Below are 26549 nucleotides of genomic sequence, written 5' to 3' on the forward strand. Positions count from 1 at the left end.
GGAGGAAGGAAAAAAAAGAGAAAGGAAAAACTTAAGTGTATTTTGAAGCAACATGACTCAATTACAATCCTGCACCATAAAAGACCATAGCATTTCCAAGGAACGTGGGCAACACAGTCCATCTAGTTTCTTCCTGCTGAGAAGGGGCACAGTTAGAGGGTATCAGATTGGAATCTGTTTACCTGGAGTTGGAAATATTCGTGGGTTCCCAGAATAATGTGAGAATGTTTTGGAGCATTATAGTGTGGGGACCCAAAAGTTTCTGGGAAAGTTTTTCCTGCATCTCCATACAGATCTTGAAAAGCAACAAAAACTACAGCAACCAAACAGAACGGGGAGCAGAATACCAATTATACCATATATGAGAGTCTTCCATGGACATGGAAGTCGACTAAACCATGACATTGTGGGATCCTGGGAGAGGACATTTATAGCAGAAATATGAGTATTCAGTGCATGCATACCTTGGATTATATCGTGAGAGTAATCTGGTGTATATACGCACCATTCAGTCTTAATGCACTGGTGTCACACTGGGCTGCAGTTAGGATATCTAAGGCCATAGGGTTCTACAGGGTCACTTGTCTAATCTACGAGTTCTTTCAGTGGGAAGGGTAATGTTGGGTTAGGTGTTATTACAGGCAGCAGCTCTATACTTAAGGTCTCTACTTATAATTCTACATCTATGTTTGCTGTCTGCGAGGAAAAGGCAGCTAGTGAGTAGAACCAACAGGGTGCCCATTTTTGATGGTGTTGTCTGTCTTTCACATTTTCCCAGTGGTCAGGGAGAGAGTCCAGATGGGACAGGATGTGTCCTGGTAGGTAAGGGCACCCCCAGGTGTACCTGCCAATCCAGCTGTAAGGTAAGTAAGACCAGCTATGACTGCCTCACACCCATAGCTAACTCCAGGAGAAAGGATAGGCCCCATCATGTAGCTTGATACTATTTTGCCATCCTAGCCACATATTATTATTCAGTTGATGGGTTTGGCCACATTACTAAGAGGTAACCATCCCTTAGCCTGGCTGCTAGTGTGGGGTGTGTTGCTCTTGTGTTTTTGGATGCGTAGAGGTGCCTGACCCATTGCCTGAATTTGCACCATCATCAGCCATCCTATGTTGTCATGTACAGCATAGTCTATAGAGGGGGTGATATTAACCTGCTTACAAGCCACATGGAAGAAATGTTTCCAGGTTTCTCCAAAAGTGGAGCACTCATGGTGAGTGGTACTGTAATCATAGATGGGAAATGGGTGAGAATTTTTACTCTTGTCCTATGTATAAACATAACTCCAAGTGCTCGAGGTGGTAGCTTGGATGTGCCATGGCAAGTCAGCAGTGGAGAAAGGGGTATCTCCCCCACAGACCCAGCAGTCTGTTTTGTTTTGGAGGAAAACCACTGTCTACACCCATTCGTGTAGTTTCAGCAAAGATCAAGTATGTACTTATTACTCTAGAACTAATTGAGAACTTCATGTTAACAAAAGTATATTGCTTATATCTCCTTCTTTTTCTTTTATTAATAACTTCAGATCTTTCCTTGGCGCACATAACCAGGTAGGCATCTGAGTGAAGCCCGCCTTTCAGTCTTTGAAGGGACTCAGCTCTTTGTACTATATCTCCTTTTTAGGAGGACTACATTCCATCTTGGGATTGTTTGTTTGTAGTGCACAAGATGCATCCCTGTGTAATTTTCCGAGTGATGTTTTGAAAGTGTGGTCTACTGAGGTGTGGTTGTACTAGGTTGGCGAGGACATCACTCCCATAGTGCATTCCTTTATGTAGATGTTTTGAGATTGGATAAACCAAGGCCTTGGGGTTTCATCATCCTGTAGGCGTTATCTTATAGGTGTCAGTTTTCTAGGGGAATTGGAATCTCTTTTCTCAAACCCCTGGCTTGGGCACGTTTGGGATCTTGTTCAGTGTAATGAGGTTTAAAATCTAGTAATTCCAAATGGAGTATTCATGTCCCAGGACCTGTGCCTCCCAAGCAGCTCATTTTGCAGCTTTGCCAGCTGCCTGGTTACCTTCGGTTGTGAATTATGTCTCTGGTGTTGGGGAAGTGCATGATGGAAGCCTGGGCAGGCAAGGCAATTGCCTTTACTAGGTCCAGAATTTCTCTTGGGTGTTTAATGTCTGTATTTTCTGATTTCAAGCAACCTCCTCTATGTTTCCAGATCACCCAATTGGCGTGCATTTCCAGGAATGCATATATGGAATCAGAATAAATCTTTACTCCCATTTCCTGGGACAGTTCTAAAGACTCAGGTAAGAGCAATTAACTCAGCTCTTTGTGCGGAGGTAGCTGCAGGAAGGGTATGGACTACTATTACCCTTTTGGTAGTCACAGTGGCACATCCGGCTCTGTGCACATCTTTCATTAAGCTGCTCCCATCAGTGTAGTTCAAGTCCAGAGCACTCATTGTCTAGTTTGACAGGTTCAGCATGCTTGAATAAGCTGCATCAAGGATTTACAGTCATGCTTTAACCCAGGATTGTGTTCAGTGGCTGAGAGCAGTGTGGCAGGGTTTAGAGCCATGGTGGTTTGTAGGGTGATATTTGGATCATATAAGAGGATGGCCTGGTATCTGCCCACTCACCCCACAGTGAGCCAGTAGCCTCCCGTTTGTTCTAGCAGAGTCAGCACCTGATGGGGTACAAACAAGGTAACTGGCTGTCCCAGAGTAAATTGTTCTACTTCCTGTAGGACTTCACAGTGGGTGCTCTTGCCCAGAGGAAGGGGAGCCATCCCTTAATCTTTGGTGTAATTGTTTAGAGAAATAGGCCATGGATTGTGGGGCATCTCCCAGCATTTGCATTAGCACAACCCACACCTATGCTTTGTTTCTCTTGGATATAGAGTTTGAACAGCTTTTGGGAATTTGGTATCCCAGTGCAGGGGGTGATATCAGCTTTTCTTTGATGGTATAAAATGTTTGTTGACCTTTAGATGTCCAGAGAAGGGCCTCTGAGTCTAGTGAATCCTTTAAGGATTCATAAAGTGTTTTAGTCATTAGTCCAAACTTAGGAATCAAATCTGGCAGAAGCTAACCCTTTCTAAGAATCCCCATGGTTGCCCCCATTCTCTGGAGCTTTATGGCTGCTATTGCCTGTTTTTTGTTTTTTTTTTTTACCAGACCAGGCTCCTTTGGCCTTGCTTTAACCTAAAGCCAAGACAGGTTACTTTCTACTTACATATTTGGGGCTTCTTGGGAATACTTTGTATCCATATTGTACCAGGTGATTTAGAACTAAAATGACATCAGCTAAGCATTTCCTATAGTTGTGGCTGGCTATTAATTATCTATGTGTTGTAGCCAGGCTTCTTAATCTTGTTGTAGGTCTCCTAAGTCTTTTGCCAGTATTTCCCCAAAAATTGTTGGTGCATTTTTTAACACATTGAGACCCCACTGTCTAACAGTATTGAAAGGTTGTTTTAGTCTCTCGGTCCTGTCATTAAAAATAATAATGATAATTGTTGGGTCTTTTCTTCAATTGGAATGCAGAAGAAAACATCTTTCAGATCTAGCACTGAAAAGCATTCATAATGTCTATATATAGCAGTCAGTAGAGTATCTGGGTTAGGCACCACTGGGTGAATATCCAAGACTATTTTATTAACGGTTCTCAGGTCTTGGGCAAATTGATATTTGTAGAAGTGTAGCTTCCTTACAGGCACGATAGGGCTATTATATGGGGATCTGCAAGGATGAATCAGTCCACTTCTCAAATTTTTGAAAGACAGGCTGTATTCCTTCTAAGGCTTCCTTTCTTAATGTATACTGATTTTTTTATTCGCCTCCTCCCCGCCGCCCAGGTCACAGTAGCCCCTTCTATTTTTTCTATATGCACTCACTGTATATTTCTTGTTTTTCCTGGGATTCCTTCTGCCTATTCACAATTACGCACTCTCTCATAGACTTCTGAGGGAGAATTCTTGTTTCTTCTTAAGGCAAGTGAGTAACATCTTAGTTGCAGTGCTTGCTTTAGCAGGACCTGCAGCCATAGTTGTTTCTCTGGGGATAAATTACTTGAGTATTTAATTTGCATAATGGGTCTTTTCCCAGCAAGGGAATTGGGCATTCTTACATATAGAAATAGCAGTGCCTTAGGTCCAAACTTTCTAGTTTGCATTCTAAAGGTTGTAGGAAAGCCTTTTGTTGCATTATTCTTGCAACTCCTATCACAGGTACAATCATTTTGGTGCTTTTTGCTCATAAAGTGTTAAAACTGAATAGTTTGCCCAGTATCAACCAGGAAATCAATTAACTTTTTCCTCACTGTCAGTTGTACCCAGGGTTCCTGTGGGGAAATTTTAATTGTCTCTGAGTGATTAAGGAGAGTCCCCAGGCATCACTCTCTGTGGTCAGAGCAGTGACCCTGCTCCATGATTTGACTTTGAGCTTTTTCCTCATCATATTCCTCCTTTTTCTGGCCCCTTGGTCCTTTCTTTTGGGACAGTCATCCTTTCAGTGGCCTTTCTCCTTACACTAGGCACACTGGCTGTGTTCCAGAGGCTTGCCTCGATTTTTCTGATGCAGAGGCTTCCTTGTTCATTCCACGTTTATGGTTGAAACTTCTGTTTCTTTGTCTCTGGAGCGGGGAAGGGGTCATTCCTAGTGAGGCTTCCTGTTTTGGTACCCCTTTCCTGAGTCCAAACAGGAAGAATGTTTGTGAATATTCCAGATGGGCCATGTCCCCTTATCAATTGGAGCCCCAATTAGGGTTTGCATCCAGAATGGTCCCTTCAGGTTTGGGGTATTTGGATTTGTTTCATGGAGGCACCAAGACTCTGGACCTTCTTTGGTCTGCAGTCAGAAACATATTTAGGAGAGACTACACATCTGCTCAGGTACGCTGGTGGGTAGCACAGATAGACACATAGAGATCAGTCATTTTCTGGGGATCCATTGTATAAAGTGGGGTGGAGTTTTTCCATTTCACAAGTTAGATGTTGAAAATGGGCTGGATGTCCAGTAATGTCTGACAGGTTGCCCACTCTCATCCAAGCCACCCATGGCCATCCCTGTAAACGGTAATTCCTTTGCTCCGGCCATGGCAATTCCTTGCTAAATCATGTTCCCTGTCAAGCACTGGAGGGAGAGGCCGTCTCTGTTCTCTCATTATACTGAGGCGGCAGAGTAGCTCCCTCTTATTGGTCTGATGCCTCACTTGGTAGCATCAAGGCAATCCGGTCCAACGCAGAGGCCAGTGCTAAGGGCCCCGTATGGTGGTACTGCAGTGGGAGCTGTTGAGGTGGAGCAGAGGCCAGGTGCGTTCTGGCTGTGGTGGTTGGAGCTGCTAAAACAGCTTGGGTGTAGGACATTTAAAAGTCCTAATTCTTCTTCATTGCTTTCTGCCTGAGTTTGGCTCTCTGGCTTGTGAAGAGCCTTTTTTCCATTCTGTCCTTTGGTATAGCTAGCAGCTGGCATCTTCCCTCATGGTATGAATCCTGATTTTCGAAAAGCATGAAGGCTTGGACATATGGTAGTTTTTCCTAATTTTCCAGACCTCTGACAAAATGAGTCTAACTGCATTAAAGGCTAATATTGGTTGCGTCCATTCAGAGGTCAAAATTTATAACCTAACTTGTCCACAGTCCAAACAGCACTGCAATAATAGACCATTTTTCTGTTAGTCATGGGCTGATAGCTATAGGCTCTACAGTTAGCTAGGGTATGCCCCAGGGGCCTCCCAGAGGTGATAGAGACCTTGTTTCCCCTCCTGACGTGGTTTCTATGTCCATACTGCTCATCCCTGTGAAACAGTGATGACAACTTTTATTTGTTGTCTCTCTTCTGTTCTGCACTGCTCATATCCTTCAACCAGACCTCTATGGGTTGGAAAGACGTTTCTAGCTTCATATAAGCAGTGCAATTAATACCACTCATGGTCCTAAAAGGAAGACTTGTGGAAATCTCACCACACAGCTGGGACAGCCAAAGAGACCAGAGAATAAACTAGTTGGGCAGGCTAGTGATTAGCACCAGCTAGCACAGCACTCCCCCACCACCACCCTGCCCCCGCTCCACCCCCTGCCCCGGCCCACCAGCACATCAACTTCATCCCAAGTCCATGTTCTGCTGTCCTTAGTACCCTAGTAGATGGTAACCGAATGGCAACAAATTAAATGGTAAATTAGGCAGATAAAAAGGGCAGAGGGGTTGGAGTCAGGACTGCCTAAATACTTATCCCATATGCTGTTAAGCTTTTTTTCACATAAACAACATTAAGCACCATAAGCATGGTGGCAAGCCCTTTAGATAACCTATGGAATTGTTCACATCCTTCCTTTCCCCATAAAAACTGGCACAGCTGTGAGAAGTACTCCAGGGCCCTAAAAAGAGTGACCCTGCTAGGGCAGTGGAGGCTGTTTCCCTCCAGGGCCGGATCCTGGATGGAGTGGGGCTTATGCAGATCACCCTGCAGAGGAAAGGAGGAGGAGGAGAGAGAGACAGAGATGAGGGCCTAAATGTAGATATTGTACCTTTTACAGTTGCAGGTTCAGACTGCACAGTCCCGGACAGATCCCCACTAAAGGGCTGGGTAAACGTCCTGAAATCTCCTCTCAATTTCAGATGCCCTCCTGTCAATCAGCTGACTCCAAGTGGAGCAAAGCCCAGGTCTTGACGTAGATACAGATACCATACATGCCCAGATGATGTCACAAGCAGCTATATGTAAACAGAGCAGAGGTCAGGTGACATCACAGAACAGGCAGAGGCAGTTCAGGGGGTATTCTGGTTGCCTTACCCAGCTCTGAAGTCTGTCAGCCTCTTCAGATGTCACTTGCCCTGTGGTAAGGAAGTGTAGTTGGCAGCTGGTGCAGTGGCAAGAAGAGAAAGGAGGTTCCCCAAGACAGAAATATCTCAGCAGGTAAAGAGAAATTCCCTAGAGCCTCAATCATGGGATCAGCTAGTTGGAAGCAGGTGGCATTCCTGGGTAGTTTCTTTCCCTTCCAGTGAGCAGAGCGGTTAAGCCTTGGTGTGCTTGTGTGTCTGATTGCCCCACTCATTGGAAACCAGACCAATGGTTTCAGGAACTCTGAGTGTGTTCTTCCCCTCTATGTGTCCATGTGTTCTTATCATTTAGCTCCCACTTATAAGAGAACATGGAGATATTTGGTTTTCTATTCCTGTGTTAGCTTGCTAAGAATAATGGACTGCAGCTCCATTCACGTCCCTGCAAAGGACATCATCTGGTTGTTCCTTATAGCTGCATTGTATTCCATGGTGTATATGTGCCACATTTTCTTTATACAGTCTATCGTTGATGGACAATTTAGATTGATTCCATGTTTTTGCTATTGTGTATATTGCTGCAGTGGACATATGTGTTCATGTGTCTTTATAACAGAATGATTTATATTCCTTTGGATATATACTTAGAAATGGGATTGTTGGGTCAAATGGAAGTTCTGTCATTAGGTCTTTTAGGAATCATCACACTGTCTTCCACAATGGTTAACCTAATTTACACTCCCACCAACATTGTATAAGTGTTCCTTTTTCTCCACAATCTTGCCAGCCTCTGTTATTTGTTTGATTATTTGTTATTTGTTATTTTTTGACTTTTTAATATATACGTTCTGACTGGTGTTAGATGGTATTTCATTTTGGTTTTGATTTGCGTTACTCTAATAATGAGCGATGTTGAGAAGATTCAAATAAATGCAATCAGAAACAACAAGGGTGATATTACCACTGACCCCACAGAAATATAAACAACCATCAGAGAATATTATGAACACCTCCATGGACATAAATTAGAAAATCTAGAAAGAATGAAGAATTCCTGCACAAATACACCCTCCCAAGACTGAACCAGAGAGGAACTGAATCCCTGAACAGACCAAGAATGGCTCTGAAATTGAGGCAGTAATAAATAGTCTCAGTGACAAATTTTTAAAATGCCACTTAGAAAATGTACACATAATTTTGCTCTATTCAGCAAATATATCTGTAACAATCACTTTTAGGAAAGGTGTTAAAATATTTTATTATTTTTTCTCATTTAGCTTAACATTTTAAAAATACTTTTCTGCTGGCAACTATTTATATCTCCATTTTCATTGACATAGTCAATAATTTACCCACCTTTCTATTAAATAATAGTGGATCAACTGATGTGCATTATTTTATACTGAACTTTGGCACTCTTGACATAATTCATATACGAATAGTCATCCAAATGTCTTGGCCAGTGAAGATGAGATTTGTCTGCCAAGGTTGAACAGGAGTTTTCCTACCTGAAAGCGGCAAGCAGTACAAAAGCAAGAACATGGTAGATGAAATTCAGGAGTCCCACAAGCAGATGAGGATTCATTTAGGGCCTGAGAAGGTGCAGGGACCCCTCATAGGGGCCTGTGTACCACCCCAAGCATGGAAATAAAGGAAAATCTTGAGTCCCTTCACAGAAATTCCAGGCACCTCTCTACCTCTGAGAAGTACACGAGCCACTGGACAAGCAAGAAGGTAAAACAGTAGCAAGGAATGGAGAGTCATGGGAATATGGGGTTCCCTATGGAAACTAAAAATCAAAGCTTAGCATATGTCCCTGAGTTGTTGTTCAGAAAGCTGCCCCTCTACTAAATGGATCCACTGGCACATAGACCTCAGATAAAGGGGATCTATGAAATGAACTCTGCCATTCTTTATTCTCAATTTCTTCCTGAGTGGCCTATGGAATGTTACGTCTATGAGCCAAAAGTACCATTACTTTCTGCTGATCCCAAATTTTCTGACAAATTTTACTTTCTTAAATAATCACACATCAGAAAATCTCTGAATCCCCCTATGACCTGTAAGCTTCCACTTCAAGATACTTCATCCTTTTAGTCTAAAACCAATGTGTAACCTCAATATATTAATTTATGACTGTGTATTACCCCTCCCCTCTGTGTCTTTAAAATCCCCTACCTGTAAGCTGTCTGGTAGTTTTAGTCTTTATTTTATTTTATTATTTTATTTTATTTTGGGGATGGAGGTTTGCTCTCGTAGCCCAGGCTGGAGTGCAGTGACTCCATCTCAGCTCACTGAAACCTTTGCCTCCTGAGTTCAAGCGATTTTCCTGCCTCAGCCTCCTGAGTAGCCAGGATTACAGGCAGGTGCCACCATGCCCAGCTAATTTTTGTATTTTTAGTAGAGATGGGGTTTCCCCAAGTTGGCCAGGTTCGTCTCGAACTCCTAACCTCAAGCGATCCGCCCTCCTCGGCCTCCCATGGTGCCGGGATTACAGGTGTTGGCCACCATGCCCGGCCTGTCTGTGTGACTTCTTAAATGTTCTTTGATATTCTCCTGCAAACCTCATGATGTTCTCTTGTTTCTCAGATTGTAACGTGTTACATGAATTTATTCTTTCTATCCCATGCTTCCTTTTATTGATGCATTCTGTCCTTTAAGTAGTGCATTTAGAACATTGACATTTAAAGTGATTATTGATATAGTTGGATTAAAAATCTACCAAATTTGTTACCATTTTTCAGTTGTTGATTTGTCTTTGTTCTTATTTTTGTATTTCACTCATTTTCTACCTTTTGTTGTTTTGAGCACTTTATATCAGTTCATCTCATTTCTTAGCATATCTCTATTTTTTTACCTTTTTAGTGACTAGTCTAGGTAATAATTTTATGCTTAATTAATCTAACAAATAACAGCTTGTTAAAAACATTAGTTTGAATATATTTGATTAGATATGGTTAAATATATATCATTGTGTGTGTATATGTATACATACAAACATTTATGTGCATTTATTCTTATGTAAGTGAGATGAATAACTGCAATAGGTGATAGAAGGAAAGAATGTGGGTTATTCTGTTACTGTAAGGTGTTCACACCACATCTTAAGTGATATATTGTTACTTGAAAGGGGGCTTGGATTAGCCAGAATTTTAAATTGCAAACTGTAGGGCAGCTTCAGTTCCTTGCTGGCTGTTGACTAGAGGCTGCATTCAGTTTCTTCCCATGTTGACTTCTCCCATGTGGCAGAATGCTCTATCAAAGCCATCAAGGCAAAGAGCTTGCTAGCAAGACCAAAAAAAAAAAAAAAAATCACAACTTTACGTAACATGATCAGTCGTGTGACATCTAATATTCTTGTATTATTGTGTTGTGTGAAAGCAAGTCACATTTCATGCCCATACTCACAGGGAGAGGATTACAATACAAGGTCATGCACCCTGGCAGGTGGGGATCATTGGGCACCATCTTAAGGTCTACCAGCCACATCAGGTCCTGTCTGATGTGCAACAGTTTCCCAGTCTTCGTTTATCTTGAAGACTCTCAGCTGCTAAGAAAAGAACTGGTGAGGTATTTTATAGGAAGCATCACAATGTGGATTCATCTGATGATTTCTCATTATTTGAATAGAATTATAGACTTATTTTGAACACCTTTATCTTAATTTGAAGACAATAAAAACTGAATATATTATTTAGAAATATAAACATAGACATAAAAATAATACAAAAAGGAAATGACAAATAGGAAACTGAAAATAATAGTAACCTTCATGGGGGTAAAAAATGCCATGAAATTGGGGAGCTGCACATTTAGAGCATCAACAATATTGATAATATTCAGTTTGTTAAGGTCAGCAGTGAATTTTTAAAGAAAGAAAAAAAGCTTTTCTATTTTACGTTAGCTTTGGACTTACATAACAGTTGCATAGTCAGCATGGAGAGTTAATATGCAACCAACACAGAGTTTCCATCATTATTAACCTCTTATATGAGCATGGGTATTTGTCACAATTAACACACCAACATTATGCATTCTCATTCACTGATATCCACATATTAATCAGATTTCTTTTCTTCCTAATTACTGTTTGTTTTCTGTTCTAGGATCTCTTCCAGGATAACACCTTTAGATATCATGTCTCCTTAAGCTTTTTTTGTCTCTGCAGTTTCTCTGAATTTCCATGTTTTTCGTGGCATTGACATCCTCCATTTAGGATTTCTATGATTGTTTTTACTAACAATTAGACTGAATTTGTAGATGTGGAAGAAGAAGAGACAGGAGTGAGTGTAATACTCATTATACCATGGGCATATATTCTCAAAATGCTTTTATCACTATTGATACTAATTTGAGCACCTGGATGAGGCAGTGTGTGTCCAGTTTCTCCACTGTAAAATTAATTTTCCCCCTATCCACGTCGTACTTTTTGAAAAAAACGTCACTATGCACAGCGCATACTTAATATTGGGGAATTATTCTTCACCTCCTTAGGGCAGAACTTGTATAGTATCGTTTGTATTTCATTATCATAGGCAATGTATCTCTTCTCCAGCATTTATTTAGTCAATTATTTATATTATATGGAATATTGGCAAATAAAAAATATTTATTTCCCCTGTGATTAGACTAGTTTATTGTATTGTTCAAATTGTGCTAGTGCTGGTCATTAGAAGGCCTTTCAGTCAGCTGCTTTACCACTTTGAAATACCCATATTATTGCTATTTGATTTGGTTTGTGTGGTGTGTTGTTTGGTTGTGTTGTTTAACTTTTTCTTACTTTCTGGCTCTACAAGGTACTTAAGCTTAATAGTGTTGATTCCCTTCCCAGCCATGCCATTTACCATTTTCCCCCAAATTCCTAGTTCCTTTTTTGGTGAATGGCATTAGAAACAAAGGTCTCGGCAATGGTGTTGTCATTTCTGCCAGGCGTCTGTTAATTCTATGTTTTGTCATCTGACAGAACAAAGGATTATATGTATGTATGTAATTCACACTCACATATGTATATGCATTTCTACAACATTTCTCCATTTATTCCTATGTAAAGTTCAGCATGAATTCTTATTAATGTTTCCAGCACCCATGATCTAATTCAAGACTACATAAATCAGTTTCCCCATTCCCACTACTTGTATGTAACCTCCCACGCTAACAGTGAGATAGTTGGCCTCCTTTATATAATCAATGAGTCCAAAATACATGCAGAGTAGTTTTAGAATTGGTAATTCATACACCCATGGGAAAGAATGTTTCTAACTAAAGAAGAGAATTTATGTACAGATACTTTGACATTTAAACTAAGAATCTCTCCTTATTTTTATATTTCTTAGGTTGGTCCCCTTTGCCCCCAAATGTCTGTTTCTTTTTCACAATATTTTAAATGGAATTGTTTTCTATGTTTTATTTTAGATTAATTGACAATATATAGAAATGCAATTGATTTTTATTACTCTAGTATACTAAAGTGTTACTGAACTCATTTTTTGTTTCTAATCTTCTTTTAGTAATTTCCTTAGGATTTTCTATACATAGGATTATGTCATTTATGAATAGAGAAAGCTTAACTTCATCCTTTTCATTCTAGAAGTCTTATATTTATGTTTCTTGCCTAATTACCCTGGCTACATGTTCCAATACAATACTTAATAAAAGTAGCAAGAGCATACATCCTTGTCCTGTTGCTAATTTTTTGAAGAAATTACTGAAACATTCATAATATGGTGTGTTGTTGTGTGAGTTTTTCATAGATGCCTTTTATCACTTAAGAAAATTTCCTTTTATGCCTAATTTGCTCGGCATTGTTATCATGAATGTGTTTTGGATTTTTCAACTGCTTATTCTGTATCTTTAGAGATAATTATGAAGCTTTTGTCCTTCACTCTGACAATATAGCGTATTACAGTAATAGTTTTTGTATGTTTAACAAAACATATTTCAGGGACAAATGACTTTGCTCATAATGTCTATTTTTATTAGGTTACTGGTTTATTTTGATAGTATTTCCTTCAGAATTTTTGCCTCTGTTTCATGGGGCATATTTGTCTGTAATTTTCCTTTCTTGAAATCTCTTTGTCCAGTTGTGCTATCAGGGAAAACGGGCTTCATGCGGCATATTGGGAAGTGTTCTCTACTCCTCTGTTTTTATTTTTTTTTCTTGAAAGATTAGTTAATAAAGATTGTTATTAATTTTCAAAGGGGTTAGAATAATTCACCAGTGAAGTCATCACAACCTAGAAAAAAATTGAATCCTACCAACACTAACATGAGCTGGGAAAGGGATCCTTCCTCAGGGGATGCTTCGCTTGAAACCTCAGCCTGGGTCATCTGATCCAGAGAAAAGGTTAAGTAATAGTTACGTGTGGGTTTGAACATCTAAGCTGTTCAGTTATATGTTATACAGCGACCTGTAGGTAATATACCTGAGAGTAAATGTAATTAGATTCTAGAAGAGAAAATGACATCAGTGGAAAACCTGGCAAAATATTAAGAAAGTCTGTCTTTCAGTTAATGCTTCAAAACTATTAACTGTATTTCAGGTAATAGTTTTGTACCACTGTCAATTTCTGAGTTTTCATAAATACATTCTGGTTACATGAGTTGTTAACATTTCAGAAAGCTGTAGATTATGTAAAACTGCATTATCTTTGAAACTTTCTGTAAAACTAAAATTATTTTCAAATAAAAATATTCTTAAAATATATTATTTAGGAACAAAAAAAAATACCAACACAGATGGACATAAACAACAAGAAACCTTGGACCAGAGGATGAGTGGAGATGCAGGGAGTGAAAGGCAAAGTACTTGCCTTATTATCCCCATTCCTACACAGGGCACCTGCTTCAGGCTTCAGGCACCTCATCAAGCTCCAGGGACTCTCATCCATTTTCTTCTTTCCCATCATATGCTCCATTACCCAGTCACCAGTTCATACATCAGTAACCACTTTTTCAAAGAAAGGTGCCTGCCCCACATGTGTTAGAAGGCCCTATTTTCAGGCACTTTGTGGTAGTGTCTTTGTAGGATCTCACTAAAGACATTTTGAAAGACATGACTTCCAGACAAGATTGAGAAACACCAGTGATGGGGAACATAAATAATATTTCTACATTAGGAGTGTTTTCTTAGTTCAGAGATTCTCTTGTTCAAGTTTTAAAGTTTTTAAAGCCTTTGAGAATACCCTATGATAATTAAGTTCTTTTTATTATGCAGACTCCATCATGAATTCATGGCACCACACAGTCCCCTGATGCTATAATATCATGGATTTCTTTTGTCCAGTGAGAGGCCCAAAAGCTGCAGCACAGACAATATCATAGTGTAGAAGGTTCACTAGCTATGAAAATAAAAGCTTCTAATCATGGGGTTGTAGGCTGATTCCTGCTTACAGAGACCTGAAATGAACCTTCAGACACCAGGCATATGAAAGCGAGGCATGTTAGTGATACAGAGTGTGTTGTGCAGAGGTGGAAATAGCCTAATAGAAAAAAGGAAAGAAGAGCACAGTACAACATAGCCCAGCCCACCATGCAGTGATCTAAGAGATGGACACAGGCTCAGTGCAGACTCTGCATCTGTGCTGCTTAAACAAAGTTCTCCACAGCAGGGAGGATTGTCCCCTCATCCCCCACACAGCTCCCCGTTCACAGGCCACACCACTTTATGGGAGGGCACCAGGGTTGTTCCAGGAACGATGTCCACAAAGCTTACTAAGCCATGGGACTGTGTGCTGCACTCCCAAGGACATCCATGAAGTTAGGACTCTTTTTGCTTTTTCAGACCGTGATCATGGGCTACATTCTCCATACCAGCTTCATAGCTCCAGTGAGAAAATAAATTCCTGCACCCAGGAGACGTGGAGTAAGAGATACAGCTGACCTTGACCACATTTCTTACTTCCAAGAAGATTGTAGCAATAATTCAGGTGCTACTATTTGGGACATTTATAATTCAATAAACCTGCTTACCCCTCTGAGCTTACAATTCACCCCATAGGAAGGAGAGCCTCATTTAAATTGATAATCTTAAACTGGGCGTGGTTGTTCACGCCTGTAATCCCAGCAGTTTGGGAGGCCGAGGCGGGTGGATCTCGAGGTCAGGAGATTGAGACCATCCTGGCTAACACGGTGAAACCCTGTCTCTAATAAAATACAAAAAATTAGCCAGACATGGTGGCGGGTGCCTGTAGTCCCAGCTACTCGGGAGGCTGAGGCAGGAGAACGGTGTGAACCCAGGAGGCGGAGCTTGCAGTGAGCCGAGATCATGCCACTGCCCTGCAGCCTGGGGGACAGAGCAATACTGTGTCTCAAAAAAAAAAAAAAAAGGACAATCTTAGTAAATGGAAGTTTGCTCTTTTCATTTCATTATAAGAGGAGTTTCTATAAGGTAAGTGACTTGTCAAATCCCATTTTTCTCTTCATTTCTATGCATACATATGGTCTGTTATGATGTGTACTGTGAAGATCATTCATGACCAAACTGTTCAGGAAAAACAAAATCACCAAGTGGCAGGCCATGAAGGAGATGGAAGTAGATTTGTCTAAGGAGAGACTCATCTCTAGGTAGCAAGAGGGTCAATGAGTTCTGAGTGCCCAGGGTTAAGATAGGAAATGTGATAGACACAAAACTGTGCTACCGTGATGTCCCTGGCACAGAGAACAAACACAGTGCTGAGCACCGAGCTCCGAAACTCTACCACCATAGCATGGAAGTTATGATTTCTCACAAGACAGTAAACCACCTGTGACCACGTTGTACTGAGGCTGGATTGGCCACCAGAATTCTCAGAAAGATGCTATTGAAAACATCTCATTGTCTGACCACATCATGAGGCCTGAACCCAACCCCTCTCCACCCTCTACCCTGAATGGAGAATAAAGCTTAAAAGGTGCATGACTCCTATATTTGAAATTAGGGCTTTCTGTTCACTGAACTGAGCCCTCATAGAAGCTGAAACTCTCAGTGCAAATATGCTCAACATTCTAAATTATAAATTATATGAGTTTCTTCTTCATGCAGTGCAGTCTTCAGGGAACACCAAGGCCTGTTTGATTTTCCAAGTATCAACAAGTGGAGTTGACAAGAGTGACAAATGGTCAGAGCAAAGCATTTCATGATGACTGTAACGTGCCTGCGTCAGCAGCGACTGCTTACAGTGAGATTCACATGACCATCGTTTATGACATAGGAAGAATAAAAGGAGAGGAGAAAAAGATAGGTAGTTGATCGAAATGAAGAACTGGATTTGGAAAGCAACTTCGAATAGTCTCTGCCTATATTTCTGAGATTAAGGCAAACAGTCTCAAGATGAGTATTTCTGTCTTGAGAGAGCTGCACTCTGCAACTCTGTAAACTTTCAAGTAACACTTTACCATTTCTATCTTCCTTCTCCATGGGATCTTCGAGCCATGATTTGTAAAATTACCTATACATCTATGTTGTATTTTTGTAGTATCTGATATTCTCTTGAGGTCTCTCTTGGGACAATGGCTTCAAATTATAACGATGTCCAACAGGACTCCAGGAAATTGGTCCTGGATGTTGACAGTGCACCTTTCATAGGATACTTATTTATCCTTGCAGATGACACAATGCCTAATTGTCCAGTCCTTTACCAGGCATCCTTCTTACTGTAATTTTTTTTAATTTCCATACGTTATTCGGGAACAGGTGGTTTGGGTTACATGAGTAAGTTCTTTAGTGGTGATTTGTGAGATTTTGGTGCACCCATCACCCGAGCAATATACACTGCACCCTATTTGTAGTTTTTGATCCCTCACCCCCTTCCCACCCTTTTCTCCTGAGTTCCCAGAGTCCATTGTATCATTCTTAGGCCTTTGCATCATAACTTAGTTCCCACTTATGAGTGAGATCCTACGATGTTTGGTGTTCTATTCCTGAGTTACTTCACTTAGAATAATAATCTCTAATCTCATCCAGGTTGCTGCAAAAGCCATTAACTCATTCCTTTTTATGGTTGAATAGTAGTCCATTATATATATATATATACCGCAGTTTCCTTATCCACTCATTGATTGATGGGCATTGGGGTTGGATTACTGTAAACTTTTAAATACTGTCAGATGCCCTTATGGCACTTTGCAGAACTGTGACCACTACATTCATATCAAGACAACCACTTTCTAGGAAAACTCTGAATTGGAAAAATGTTAAGTTCAGGTGTGTTGGTCATGTGAGACACAGAGGAGGCCACTCAACAGAGCACATGAGATAATGTAAGCGGTGTATTTCTTACAGGTGAGGTTCACTGGGCACCATCGTAGGGTCTACCTGACACATCAAGTATTCTCTAATCTGCAGATTTCTCAGTCTTCACTTATTTTTTGTGAACTTGACTTTTTTGAAAACACAGGTCAGATATTATGTAGGTTTTCCCACAATATGAATTTGTCTCATGATTTCTCATGATTAAACTGGGACATAAATACATTAAAACCATGCATGTGTGTTTGAAGACAAGAAAAATAAACATTATAGATATTAGAAATATAAACATAGAGGTAAATGTAATAAACACAAATTAGAGGATAACAAATAATTCACAGTAATAGCTATTTTCAGTGATTAAGGAAGATGGTGAAGCTCAGGAGATGCACTATGGGCCATCAAACATATTGCTCATGTTGTTTTATAAGGTCAACAGTGACTTTAAAGATAAAGAAACCTTATAAATTTAAGAATAGTTTTAGGTTTACAGAACAGTTGTAGTACATAGAATTTCCACATATCCTACGAAGTTTCCATTTTTATGAAATTCTTACATTAATGTAGGACATTTGTCACAAGCAATCAGTTTTATAACACTATAACTACTCTTCATACTTTATTCATTTTTTTTTAGTTTTGACTTAATGTCCTGTTTCTATTCCAGGATTTCATCCAGGATACCTCATCACAGGTACATGTCATGTCTCCTTAGAATTCTCTGACTGTCACAGTTTCTCAGAGTTTCCTTATTTTTGATGCCATTAATATTACTAATGTGGGATTTGTCTGATGTTTCTCTAATGATAAGACTGGATTTGTGGGTTTAGGGGAGGAAGATCACGAGGAAAAGTGTCATTTTTATTTATTTATTTAATTTTGAGACAGTGTCTCACTCTCTCGCCTAGCCTGGAGTGCAGTGTCATGAGCTTGGCTCACTACAGCCTCCATCTTCTGAGCTTAAGGATCCTTCCCTCTCAACCTCCAGGGTAGCTGAGACTACAGGTATGTGCCACCAGGCTGGACTAATTTATTGTTGTTGTTGTTTGTTATTTTTTTTGGTAGAGGCAAGGTTTCACCATGTTGCCCAGGCCGGGGTCAAACTCATGGGCTCAAGTGATATTTATTTTGTTATAGAGATGGGGTCTTAATGTGGTGTCCAGGCTGGTCTGGGATTACAGGCGTGAGCCACTGTGCCTGGCCAAAAAGTGCCATTCTCATCATATCATACCAAGAGTAAAAACTGTCAACAAGGGTAGACAGTCATTATTGGCAGAATGTCTACAAATTCCTTTAAACCTTCACCGTAAACATGTGCCTATTCTCTTCCAATTATTTCATGTGTATTAATTTATTCACTTAAACATGCATCTTTTATTTATATCATTATCTAAATATGGAGATTTATTTTACAATGCATATGTGCTATTTTTTTTTTTGAGACAGAGCCTTTCTGTGTTGCCAAGGCTGGAGTGCAATGGTGCGATCTCAGCTCATTGCAACCTCTGCCCCCTGGGTTCAAGCGATTCTCGTGCCTCAATCTCCTGAGTGGCTGGGATTACAGGCATGAGACACTACACCTGGCTAAGTTTTGTATTTTTAGTAGAGACTGAGTTTCACCATGTTGGCCAGGTTGGTCTCAAACTCCATACCTCAGATGATCCACCCTCCTCGGCCTCCCAAAGTGCTGGGATTACAGGCATGAGCCACCATGCTCGGCTGCTATTTTTTTTTTAATTGCACAAATTGTTCCAGTGTTGGCTATTGGAAGGTTTTTAAGTTGTCCCTTCTATCACTTTGAAATACCTGCATAATTAAAGTTTGATGTTGTGTGGTTGGTTGGTTTTGTTGTTGTTTGGCATTTTCTTTTGTTCAGTCACTATTATATGCTCCAGTCTGTGAATTTAATTCTGCTTCAGGGTAATTTGGTAATTTTATACTTTCTGCTAATGTTTCCAACACCATATGACCTAATCCAGGACCATATAAATGGATCCACTCATTCTCATTTGTATGTGATCTAGCACTCCCTGCAAGCAAGTTGATGTTGTTAATTTAATCATGCTACCTGAACAAGGTATATGGCTATGTAGAAAAATAGAAGTTGAAACAGTCAAAATACTGTGTAATTCCATTTATATGACTCTCTAGAAAAGGAAAAAGTGTAGTGATAGTAAAGAGTTCAGTGGTAACAAGGGGCTTGGGAGAGATATAGGTGACATCAGTGAACTACCGAAGATTTCTTTGGGGCAGTGAAATTCCTCTTTGATACTGTAATGGTGGATACATCATAATGTTTTCCAAATCCTGAAGAACTTTGTAACACAAAGAGTGTAGCTAAATTATGCAAATTTAAAAGCTTATTTAGTAGGTAACAAGTTTGCCTTTTCACAGTATTTTACCTTTTCCAACTTATATTTTTTAGCAATATGCTTTTTAGATTTTTGAAGTACACCTCATGGTTTTTAGATTTGCCTTCACCCAATTTTTGTAGGACAGGTGAGTCACAGAATTTTGGCTTATCCTGAGAGGGTTATTAGCTTTGTCCAAGAAAGAATTTAAGGGCTAGTGGGTGATGTTAGACTGCAATATTTTATTGAATGGTACTGCTCCTAGCAGAGCAGGGCTAACTCTTAAGCAGTGTGTTCAGAGTTGGCAACATATAGGCCTCTTGGCAACTGTATTTATATGCAATCAAACCCACTTTTAATTATATGCAAATTGAGGGGCAAGTCAAGGCAAATTGAGGCAGGACAGGGGCAGTGACTTCTAGGTTGTCTCCATGGAAAGGGCAGTAACTTCTGAGTTGTGGCCATGGAATTTGTAAACACTTATGTGGTTGGTAGGAGTGTCTTATGTGAGTGACAAATGAAGACTGCCAGGGATCACATTTACCGCAACGTACAGGCTTCTGCCAGTTTTTTCACTTTATCCTGTCTGGAGCAGATCTTATTTTGGTCATCAAGGTTGTGAAACCAGAAAACAAATCCTTCCAGTCTCCTACCTCATAATGACAAAAGACATTGAGCATATTTTCATGTGATTTTGGATATGACTATGGCTTTCTTTTGAGAATTGGCTATTTAAGATTTTGCCATTTTTGATTGGGATATTTGCCTTTTAAATTTTGAGTTGTAAGACATTGCATATTCTGGATAATAGACCATTATCACCTATAAAATTTGCAATTTTCACATATTTTCTGCCATTCTTTGGGTGCCTCTTTATATTTGATGGTGGACTTTAAATTGCAAAAGGTTTTAATTCTAATGAAGTTTAATATTTCTATATTTTCTTCTTTCCTTTGTGTTTTTCAGTGTCATATCTTAAAACATTGTTTAACCAAAGACCACAAAGATGTATTCCTGTGTTTCTTTTTATGGGTTGGCTCTGTTTAGCTCTTATATTTAGATAGATTGTCATTTTGAGTCAATTATGTTTCTGGTATGAGGCAAGAATCTAACTTGCATGTGGATATCCACTTGACCCAGAAACATTTGACAAGAAAATATTGCTTCATAACTAATTTATTTGGCCACAATATAAAAGCATTTCACCATAAATGTAAGGATTCATTTTTGAGTATTATATTCTACTCCATTGATCAATACATATATCCCTACACTAGTACCACAAATCTTGATTACTATTACTTTGTAGTAAGTTTTGAAATCAGGAAGCATATGTCTACTATGCAAACCCTTTTTGTCTTTCTCAAGAGTATTTTGGCTGCTCAGGATCTATATTATATATAAATTTGAGGATAACCTTCTGAATTTAGGGGAATGTTTTGAGAGAAGTTGCATTAATTCTATAGATCCATTTGGAAAATATTGCCAACCTAACAATATTAACCCTTGTAAACAATGAGCATTCAAAGATTTTCTATTAATTTTGTTCAATATGTGTTATATAGTTTTTAGTGTACATATCTTATACTTAATTTGATAAGCTTATTCCTAAGTATTTTTGATTCGATCTCAATTGGAACGGTTTTCTGAGTTTTGTTTTTAGATTGTTAATTGCTAGTATAGAGAAATTTAAAATATTTTATATATTTTATATACTGCAAATTTCTTTGAACTCGTCTTTAAATTCTAAACATATTTGATTAGAATTCTTTGGACGTTTTGTACATACGATCATGTCATTTGCAAACAGTCAGAGTTTGACTTCCTTTCCATATTAGAAACATTATATTTATTTTTCTAAGCCAATTGCCCTGTCTACATTCTCCAGTACAATGTTGCAAACTAGTGTCAACAGTGGAAATATTTGACTTGTTTCTAATATCAGAGAAATTAGTGAACCTTTCAGATTACTTATGATGATATGTGAGCTTTTCATAGATGCCCTTTGAAATGCAGAAAGTTCTCTTATCTGCCTAATTTGCTGCATGTTTTTATAATATGGAATCTGGGAATTTTCAAGTGCTTGTTGCATACCTTCTGAGATGATTGTGTAGTTTTTATTCTTTATTAATATAGTGTATGACTTTAGTTGTATCCTATATTGAACCAAATTTGCATTCCTGAGGTAAATACCCTTTACCATAGTGTATAATACTTTCTACATGTTGCTGATTTCATTTGATAATATCTCGCTGGTGATTTTTGTCTCTGTATTTATAAGGCATATTGGTCTTCATTTTCCTTATTTGAAATGTCTTTGTGTAGTTGTTCAATCAGGGTAAACTAATTCATAGTATACAATGGGAAGTGATCTATTTTCTACTTCTTTATTATTATTGTATTGTTTTGAAATATTTTTGATAAATTAGTATTAATTTTATGTGATTTTAATAACACATCAATGAGTTCCTGATGAGGGCAGGGAGGTGAATCCTAAGAACAATCATGTGAGTTTGGAAGGAGACCCTTCCCCAGCTGAGCCTCAGCCTGAGCCATCACCTACATCTAGACCGAAGACCCAGAGAAACTGTGAGTAGTATGTGTGTGGTTTTGAGCCACTAAGGTATGTGGTAATTTGTTATGCACCAAGTAGTAAGTAATATACCTGACAGTAATTGTAAGGTGGTATTCTGGATTAGGTCCTGGAATAGATAAGTATATCATTATTAGAAAACCTGGTAAAATATGAAGGAAGTTTGTAGATCAGTTAATAGTCTTGAAAAACAGTTAAATTCTTAGTTTTCATGAATATGCTATGGTTATAATAGATACTAACATTCTAGTTATCTGAATGGTATATGAAACTGTCTGTACTTACCTATGTGCATTTATGTAAATCTGCAGTTATTTCAAAATAAATATTTTTTTAATATTATTATTTTGTTTTTTTTTAAAAAGTAAGCAAGTAAAGACATCAGCAAAAAACTTTTGCCTCCAAATACAAGTGGGCATGTAGGGAGAGAACAGTAAACTAGCTTTTCTTTTCTAGGCAACATTTGAAACCCAGGAGCCACTGCTTCAGGAAGGTACCTTCAAGCTCCAAGGACTCTTATCCTCTTTCTCCTTCCCCACTACCTAGTCATTAGAGTGTCAGCATCCACTTCTTGAAAGGAAGATGCCTGTTTTTCACATATCCCAGAAAGCCCCATTTTAGGACAGCATTTAGCAGAGTATATTCAAGATCCCACTAACCTTTTCGGAAGACATGAATTCCAGATGATATAAGGCAAGAATAAGAAATTTCAGTGTCAGGGAACATAAATCATATTTCTGCATTCAGGATCACGTTTTCTTGGTACAGGGATTTCTTCTTCAAGTAATCCAAAGACAACTTTACTTTCAAACCTTTCAGAAAACCTGTTCTAATTTACTTTGCTTCATTCTACAGGCTCCATCAGGAACTGTTCAGGACCATGCACTCTGTTGATACTCACATGGTGGAATTATATTGCCCTTGGCCAACCCTAAAGCCATCAAGATAGCAGGTAAACAGAGTACAAAAAATATTTCTAATAAGTTGCTTTAGGGCAGTCCCTGCTTCCAGAGGCCTGGGAATAAATCTTTACAACAGGGTTTTTGCAGGTGAATGCTACTGAGTGATATATACATGTTGTGCACAAAAAGAGAAATCTCATTAGGTGAAAAACAAACAAAAAAAGAAAACAATATACAGCATATCTCCAACCCTCCATGCAGTGATCTGAGAGACAGAAACAGGCTGTGTTTGTTTCTGCATGTGTACTGGCTGCCCACTAATTCTCCACACAGCTTCCTATTAAGAGGCCATTGCACCCTTCTTAGTAGCAGCAGAGTTGTTTTCAGGAACCATGCCTAAAAGGCCTACAAAGCCATGGAACTACATATATGGAACTACGTATGTCAACTCCCATTGACTTCCATAAATCTTGAATAGCATGATGTCACAGGCACAGATGACAAAGTGCTGAGCACTGAGTCCCTAGACAAACTTTCACTGCATGGAAGATATGATTTTGCACAGTATCCTAAATCAACTGTTGTATAGAGGCTGGTCTGGACACAAGTCTACAACAGATGCTATTGCAAACAAACTACATTTTTAGACCACATCATGAGGCAAACCCAATGCTCTGTCTCCACACTCTAACCTGATAAGAAGATTGAGTTCAAGGAAGGAATGTCTCATATATGTAATGACATGACTTTGTGTTTACTTAATTCAACCTTCCTGGAGTCTAAAACTCTAGGTGAAATTTCAGTCAACCTCCTTAACTGTGACTGTATGAGTTTTTTTATCACTCAGTGTACTCATGAGGGGATACCGAAACCGATTCCAATATCCAAGTACCCAAAGTAGAGTTGACCAGAGTAGCAAGGGGCCAGATCAAAATATCTTATAAAGACCATTATGCATTCACTTCTGCAGTGACTAATCATGAGGTGATTTCTACGATCACCAGCCATGTGATTAAAAGGACAAATGTGAATGAAGAAAAAGATACACAAATGTTACATCCGAAAGAATGGAATCTGTAAGGAAGTTTACAGGAAGGATTGCTCATATTTCTAAGATTACAGTTTAAAGTTTCAAAATACTTTTTTCCAGGTCTTTAGAGAGCTACCACGCCAGTGAATTTTTCAAGTAGCTCTTTACAATTTTCATCTCCGTCTTCAATGGATTTCTTAAACCATGGTTCATAGAACTATATTTCCATACGTGACATAAGAATTCTAGTACTCCACTAATAACTCTAATGTGTCTAAAATTATAAATGCAGTTTATAACACCTCTCTGGACACTCACTTTAATGAGAAGTGAACAAACTGGACTTCCCTAATGGAGGACAGCGGTGAAGCTCCCAGGTAGAATATAAATGCAGTTTATAAATTTATGTGATAAGATTTAAGCATATTTCCTCAATAACAAACAAGAATATAGCCAATGAGCCACCATAATTTAACACTGAGAAAAGAGCAGTCACAGAGAAAACAGTGTATTCCATTCATTGTAGAGTGCACATTTTCACATCTATCAAATACAGATGCATCTTAAATTTGAAAGCGTTAAAACACTATTGACGAGAAGGCAGTCATAATGTGATTGTCCTCATTTACCTGTATAAACTTGGTCTGCAAACCTCCTGTCAATGTTTTTGGGTGATGTCATCAACATCAGCATCAAATCTTGCACGGGAGGTTTCAGAAGGTTGAAAATATAAACTCGCAGGAGCAACGTAGGAATATCACAGGAAATGCAGCATCACCAAATCCTCAGATTAGCACAAATGATGATAACATGGGGAACACCATGAGCAAGATGAATTGAAGATTGATTTAGGAGAGTTGGATCTGAATGGGAGAAAATTTAGGAAAACCTTTGTCGGTGTATTTTCCTTATGTGTTCCATCCCATGTAATCATAGGAGTGACAAAAGACAAGAGAAATATCCACATATATATGTCTTGAAAATAGCTTTTTTTCCAATAATTATAATATAATGATGTTATTATTATACAATGTATTTCCACATGATAAAAGTATTAGTTTCATTGTTGGTGGTTTTGTTCTTTCATTCTGATACAGAAAATAATGACATGTTACAACTGATGCAATTGATACATCTCACAATTTACTAGAATATTGATTTCTCGGGGTTAGTGTAGGCTTAGTAATATACTGCATGGTTTATATGTTACCATTTCATACAATCCACCTGCCATCTCAGAAAGTAAGGACTATTCCTGCTCCTCTGGTCCATTTCTAAGTCTGAGCTAAATCTCCACAGGAGAGGCCTAACAGAACCTTGAGTTTGATTCTATATGCCCTAGAGTCTTTGCTGACATCAACTACATAGAATATGTTTTGTCTTATATGTTAAATGCTTTTCAGGTCTAGTTTCAGACAGCTTAGCCTACCTCATGGTCTTGAAGTTATTTTCCTGAATTGTGTTCTGTATACTCTACTACATATTTTTGTATTTATGTCTATGAACTGACTATAATTAATTTTGTGTGTAATGTCAGGTCATAGGTCAGATTTTAGTTTCTCCCTGTGGATATTCAATACCCTGGAATATTTTAATAAAAATCCAATTTTCCCCCATTCAGCAACTTAAATATATGCTTATATATGCATACGTCTGTTTTTTAAGTTATTGGCTGTTTATTCTATCTCTGTGCAAATACCACACTCTTATTATTAAGAGAGTCTATTCAAGAATTTTCTCTCTAGAGATTGTTCTTTCTCTTCTTTTTTAAGAGATAATTTTGTTCTGTCACACCAACTGGGGTACAGTGGCACAAACACAGAACACATTCTGTGTGTGAGCTGCTGGACTCAAGTGATCCTCCCCACGCAGTCTCCTGAGTAGCTGGCACTACAGGTGCAAGCCACCATGCCCGGCTAATTTTTAACTTTTTTAGTGGAGAGGAGGTCTCTCTTTGTTGCCCAGGCTGATCTAGAACTCCTGGCCTTAAGCAATCCACCCTCCTTAGTCTCCCAAAGTGTAGGAATTGCAAGCGTGATCCATTGTGCCTGGCCCAGGGCCTGTTCTTTTTAACCACTGAGCTGCTCTATAATGAGGTGAAAGAAGTTCAGACCTGCATGCCTTGCACTTACACCAATCCTTTCAGCTGTACCTTGAATGAGGCTGTGGATATACAACTTTAGAACGTTGCCATTGACTCTGAAATCTCTACGTCCTTGTGAATCTTAGGCAGTCTCCCAACACCACTGCCCACCTTATGTATTTAGTATCTTTGACAACAGCCAAGGTTGTTGAAAACCTAGAGAGGCAACCCTGGCTCCCTTCTGCCCTGCTGTAGATGATCCTGTGAACAGGGTCCCCCTCCAGACCATGCCCAACAGAGGCAGGTTCACAGGGGAGCCTCTGAGCTCAGAGCCTCTCTGGGGGCTCTGCATGCACAAGGACAGCACCTCCCTGCCTTGGTTGTGGGGTGAGGTAGGGAATTCAAGTCTTTTAAAAAAGGCTCAGTTTGTTCAAAAATGATTCTGTTTGCTGACCAATGACACCTTAAGACTTTAGATTTTACATCGTGATATTTCTCCTTGATTTTGATTTAATTTGTTGTGCAAATGTCTTAAATGCTTGTGTATAAATATTCTCTTTTGTTGGTCATATAAACATCATCTAAAACCAAATATTTATTTTTGTATCATAGATTTAAGGCCTTT

The 26549-nt window shown here is 39.0% G+C and overlaps 3 long non-coding RNA genes across 2 annotated transcripts in view; 1 reads left to right on the top strand and 2 right to left on the bottom strand.

The window, feature by feature from the left end:
• The window catches only part of LOC105370733 (uncharacterized), a 440742-nt gene that overhangs the window by 61606 nt on the left and 352587 nt on the right, over nucleotides 1-26549 (top strand).
• LOC105370732 (uncharacterized) overlaps nucleotides 1-26549 on the bottom strand; it is a 50985-nt gene that overhangs the window by 20600 nt on the left and 3836 nt on the right. Inside the window, exon 2 of the long non-coding RNA XR_931993.3 lies at nucleotides 24471-24704. This is a non-coding gene — a long non-coding RNA (uncharacterized LOC105370732). The remainder of the gene's footprint in view (nucleotides 1-24470; nucleotides 24705-26549) is intronic.
• Nucleotides 1492-6663, bottom strand: PWRN2 (Prader-Willi region non-protein coding RNA 2). Its single transcript, NR_152824.1, has 2 exons — nucleotides 6488-6663; nucleotides 1492-5610 (listed from the first exon to the last, which is right to left on the bottom strand). It is a non-coding gene; the product is annotated as a Prader-Willi region non-protein coding RNA 2 (long non-coding RNA).

The sequence above is a fragment of the Homo sapiens genome, chromosome 15, assembly GCF_000001405.40.
Source record: "Homo sapiens chromosome 15, GRCh38.p14 Primary Assembly".
NCBI lineage: Eukaryota > Metazoa > Chordata > Mammalia > Primates > Hominidae > Homo > Homo sapiens.